This window comes from Homo sapiens, chromosome 4, assembly GCF_000001405.40.
Source record: "Homo sapiens chromosome 4, GRCh38.p14 Primary Assembly".
Lineage (NCBI taxonomy): Eukaryota > Metazoa > Chordata > Mammalia > Primates > Hominidae > Homo > Homo sapiens.
This window is the reverse complement of record NC_000004.12, coordinates 161,313,203-161,319,183: the sequence shown is the minus strand read 5'-3', so window position 1 is coordinate 161,319,183 and position 5,981 is coordinate 161,313,203. Positions and strand designations below refer to the sequence as shown.

General features: G+C 36.0%; 1 annotated feature.

Annotated features, from left to right (window-relative positions):
* Nucleotides 5,339–5,508: an enhancer, noted in NCBI's record as "experimental_75511 CRE fragment used in MPRA reporter constructs". NCBI's record gives its function as "activates a minimal promoter by MPRAs in K562 erythroleukemia cells, with activity observed for the introgressed 4:162234913 variant allele {active_cell/tissue: K562}" and the evidence as "EXISTENCE:reporter gene assay evidence [ECO:0000049][PMID:34662402]".

Sequence of the window (5,981 nt, the reverse complement as noted above, 5' to 3'; positions counted from 1 at the left end):
AATAAATTAACCTTCACTGACTGTAACATTTCCTTTACTTCATACACTTTTTAAGTTTTTTAAATTTTTGACTGTTCTTGTAACACTTAGCTTAAAACATAATCACATAAAAGCAATGGCAACAAAAGCAAAAATTGAGAAATGGGATCTAATTAAACTAAAGAGCTTCTGCACAGCAAAAGAAACTACCATCAGAGTGAACAGGCAACCTACAGAATGGGAGAAAATTTTTGCAATCTACTCATCTGACAAAGGGCTAATATCCAGAATCTACAATGAATTCAAACAAATTTACCAGAAAAAAACAAACAACCCCATCAAAAAGCGGGCAAAGGATATGAACAGACACTTCTCAAAAGAAGACATTTATACAGCCAAAAGACACATGAAAAAATGCTCATCATCACTGGCCATCAGAGAAATGCAAATCAAAACCACAATAAGATACCATCTCACACCAGTTAGAATGGCAATCATTAAAAAGTCAGGAAACAACAGGTGCTGGAGAGGATGTGGAGAAATAGGAACACTTTTACACTGTTGGTGGGACTGTAAACTAGTTCAACCATTGTGGAAGTCAGTGTGGCGATTCCTCAGGGACCTAGAACTAGAAATACCATTTGACCCAGCCATCCCATTACTGGGTGTATACCCAAAGGATTATAAATCATGCTGCTATAAAGACACATGCACACGTATGTTTATTGCGGCATTATTCACAATAGCAAAGACTTGGAACAAACCCAAATGTCCAACAATGATAGGCTGGATTAAGAAAATGTGGCACATATACACCATGGAATACTATGCAGCCATGAAAATGATGAGTTCATGTCCTTTGTAGGGACATGGATGAAGCTGGAAACCATCATTCTCAGCAAACTATCGCAAGGACAAAAAAACAAACACCGCGTGTTCTCACTCATAGGTGGGAATTGAACAATGAGAACACATGGACACAGGAAGGGGAACATCACACACCAGGGCCTGTTGTGAGGTGGGGGATGGGGGAGGGATAAAATTAGGAGATATACCTAATGTTAAATGACGAGTTAATGGGTGCAGCACACCAACGTGGCACATGTATACATATGTAACAAACCTGCACATTGTGCACGTGTACCCTAAAACTTAAAGTATAATAAAAAAAAAACATAATCACATTGTATATTGTACAGCTATACAAAAAGATTTTCTCCCTTTATATCCTTATTCTGTAAGTTTTTTTCTATTTTTAATCTTGTTTTTTTAGTTTTTTGTTAAAACTAAGACACATTAGCTTAGGCCTCCACAGGGTCAGGATCATCAATATCACTGTCTTCGCCTCCACATCTCACTCCACTGGAAGGTCTACTTGCCCCACTGGCAGTAACACCCATGGAGCTGTCTTCTCCTTCTTTTGGAATGCCTCCTGAATGACCTGCCTGAGGGTCTATTACTATAATATTTTCTTTAAAAAATAATTAGGAGTATACTAAAAAAAAAATTAAAAAGCATTGCATCACAAGTAAGTAAACCAGCAACATTGTCATTTATTATCAATACCAACAGTACATAATTTTATGTGCCATACTCTTTTTTTGAGATGGAGTTTTGCTCTTGTCGCCCAGGCTGGAGTTGCAATGGTGCGATCTCGACTCACTGCAACCTCCGCCTCCCAGGTTCAAGCAATTCTCCTGCCTCAGCCTCTTGAGTAGCTGGGATTACAGATGCCCGCCACCTGGCCTGACTAATTTGTTTTTCTTTTTGTATTTTTAATACAGACCAGATTTCACCATGTTGGCCAGGCTGGTCTCGAACTCCTAACCTCAGGTGATCTGCCCGCCTCAGCCTCCTAAAGTGCTGGGATTACAGGCGTGAACCACCATGCCTGACTATGTGCTATACTTTTATACAACCGGCAGCACAGTAGGTTTGTTTACACCAGCATCATTACAAATGTGTGATAATGTATTGCACTATGATGATATTATGATGGCTATGATGTCATCACTAGGGGCCAGAAATTTTTCATCTCTATTACAATCTTATGGGACCACCATCATTTATATGGTCTGTTAATCACCAAAACATCATTATGTGGTGCATTACTGCATTTACCTAAGTTCTTCTGGACCATAAGTTTCTTCAAGACAAGATTATTGTCTTATTCACTGGTTTATCTCCAGTAGTAGCTCAGCATCACACATAAATGGTTACTCAGAGCTATTTGTTTAATTGAGTGAATTAAATTGAGATGATCTGTGAAATAACAAACTGATTAAACCTATAAATAAGAGGCAGATGTACAAATTATATGATATACGCATAAATTATATCATATTGTTATGTGACCTATGTCTACTCGATAAAATAAAGCTAGAAGATTGCAAGTAAACTCAAATATTTCTAAAGGTTTATTTTAAACAAGAATTACATTTTGTTATGGATTAATTTATTTTTTGAATCCTATAAAGACTAATATGCATGTTTCTCTGAGTGATGATTCAAAGAGCAAGGAAATACCATCTTTTAGGTCCATCATCTTCATCATGTGGTTTTTAAAGTTGCTATGCTTATCTAATTCAGCTGGCAGGGAAGAAAAATCATGAAGAGTATACATAGGAAGTTTTTAAAAGCCAGTCCTAGGAGCTGTTCACATCAATTCTGCTTATAGTCTATTATCTGTAATATAATTACATCCAAATGCCAAGGGGACCAGCATATACACAGTAGCTGGATCTCCAAGAAGAGGAGGTAGTTTTAGTAAACACATATCTTGTCTCAGCAACGGTCAACCAATCTAGTATTTTCAGATAAGATAAACCAAAGTCCTGTCCAATTGCTGCACTCAACTCAGCGTTCAAGATCTCTAGGTCATTCACTTGATGTCAATGGATCCCTTATTGTCTGATAACCCGTAAACCAAAAGACATTTTGTCTATCTCCTTATATGTCTCATTTTATATCTGTGCACTTCCACAGAGGAGAAGGGGATGAATAACCTTGACAAAAAGCCCCACTTGGCAAAGTGGAGAATGAGAAACACACCGAAATCACTTTTCCAGAATAATAATAAAATGTTGGAGTCCAGACATTATAGGAACTTCTACTTTGCTGGAGAAACACCTTAATCAGACCATCCTAATTTTCCCTCTTCATGCATTGTTCTTTGACTTCTTGTTTTGTCTTCTCAGATACTCCTTCTTGTTTGTTACCCTCTATAGGCATATCTGAAGTGAGTGTACTTTGGAAGGAAAACGATCAGTTTGGTGGAGTATAGTCTTTATCATGCTCTTCTTACTTGTGCAACTCTAAACACAAAGGATTGAAGTAAAAACGTCCAAGTGTTTCTTATACTTGATTCGTTGCTTCTTTGACAAAATAATTCCCTCAAAAAAATGTAGTAGGTTTCTGATCTGTTTGTTGCAGGCATTTCAAAATGTCAGTAAAATCCTACAAAGTTTTCTTCATGGATAATTCTCAGGTCGGCTTTATTTATTTGATTCTTAAAGCTTATGCTTTTCTTCCGACTTAATTGTGGCTAATTTGTGGTAGACTGAAGAAAAATATTCAGGTGGAACAGTATTAGCTTCAAAGATGTTTATCTGAGGATTAAGGCACTTCTTCAACTAAGGAGTCTTATTATTATTATTTGTATGTATTTTATTTTGGGGAGGGGACAGAGTTTCGCTCTTTTTGCCCAGGCTGGAGTGCAATGGTGCCATCTTGGCTCACTGCAACCTTTGCCTCCTGGGTTCAAGTGATTCTCCTGCCTCAGCCTCCCAAGTAGCTGGGATTACAGGTGCATGCCACCATGCCCAGTTAATTTTTTGTATTTTTAGTAGAGACAGGGTTTCACCATGTTGGCCAGGATGGTCTCGAACTCCTCGCCTCAGGTGATCAGACCGCTGTGGCCTCCCAAAGTGCTGGGATTACAGGCATGAGTCACTGCATCTACCCTATGTTTTTAACATTAAGTCTTTTTCTGTCTCCCATCTTCTTACTTGGATCCAGAAGTGGCTGGTGGCTTTCCCAACCCCATAGCTTTCTTTATTTCCATACTCTCTCTATTTGTATCTATGTTTGAAAACCAATCAATTATTGCATGATCTCATCACTTTTCATATTTTGGCTAAAAGCTGCCAGTCATAGCTAATATACAGTATATTTGTTTTAAATCTCTCTTTCTGAAATCAGGCTCAGTAAACATATAGTCTGTTTTCAAAATTTTCAAAATCTTTATGGGTGACAGTTTTACTGAATATTTTGGTCATTGTTTAACAGAGATCTTAAGTTTTACAATGCATAAGATCTATTTTCTTGCCACCTATCCTCCAACCACTGGGCCAATGCCACATACCTTAGGTGCTATAAAGGCAGCAAGCCATTTCCAGTTACCAATTCTATTATAAGTTATGTAGTGCTAGTTGCTATACTCAGTAAATATACAAAGGACTCAAACATGAGAGAAGTTCATTTATCACACAGGCAAATTCCAAATCTAGTGTTCCTAAGCGGCTTGTGGCTCACGGTGGATTTACAGATCTGGGTTTCTTCCATTTTAAGCTTTACATATTTCAGCATGTGGGCTTTCATGAATATTGGCTTATGTCCAAAGAAAAGCAAAATAAAACACGAAGAATTTTGTAGAGGAAGTTTCACAAGTCAAGCCTAGAGGTAGTGTCCAACACTTGACATTCTGTTGCTCAATCACAGTGCAAAACTATGTGCAAAATCAGTGTAAAAATCTAGCTGTGGATAGAGGAAGAAGAATAAACAGTTTGTATCCATTTTCACAGCAGTCTCTTATTTAATAACATAGTTTTTAATATCCAGAGACAGAGGGATTCTATCTTTCTAATAACACTTTTTTTGTGTGTGATACTGGGGGTAAAAGCCTGAAAGTTTGGAAAGACATTTTTATGTTATAGAATTGATGCCACTTTATATAGCTGCTCTCTGACAAGGAAACTAATAACTGGGAATATTTGGATAAGTGCTGATAGACATATAAATTACATCTTTCAGCAAGAAAGTGTTCCAGGAGAATCAACATACTTTTCTAATATGGCTTTACCTTAAACATGTCAATTCATCTGGGTATTTTATTCTAAAAAGAAATTTAAAGCATTAATTGAGGGAAAAGGGGGCATATTTTTGGATAAAGTGTACTTAATTTTGTTTAAGAACTACTTCTGTCTTATACATGGAGGTGGTTTGCTAAGTTGGAGATGGAATGAGTAGTTCTAGACTTTGACTGAAATAAGTGAGTGATGGAAAAAAGTGTGTTGAATATTGTAACATAAATCATGCAAAACTTTAAACTTCTATTGATTATATATTTCTCAAAACTGCAAGGTGGGCATGGCATTGGAATGATTAATTTAGAAATATATTTTCCAGACAAACACATTTAATTAAATCTTTTTGGGTATGAAATGCATCCTTCTTCCAACTCTACATCTAGGTAATGTCATGACTATGCACATTTAACATTTACATAAATATGTTTATGCTTCAGAGCTTTTCATTTGCTTGTATTATTACTCATTATAATTTTCAAATCATATCATCTAGCAAACCATTTTAAATTAAAAAATAATCAATGGCAAGTGATTGTGTTTTCTGGTTCTCAAAATAATATACAAAGGAGAGTAGTTTTAACTATAATTAACTTCAGGTTGCCCAAGAGAGTAAGAGATAATTAGTTTGTATTGTTTATATTCCTTTTCATATATGCTATATTTTAAATTCTGTTTTATCTAGGCACTTTTCATTAGAATAAATATGGTTAGTATGCAACCACAGTTTTTAAAGTTTAAATTTCCTTTAGATACATTTAGAATTAAAATGCATTTTGAATTTAATTAGGAGCTAGAATAAATGCCTTGCCACTATAACAGTTTCTATTATTATTTTCAAGTTGGAAAATGAGCAATTATTAGAAACTTGCTTGTTTATAGGCCAAATAAAGTTACATAGTCAACTGCTTCCTGCTT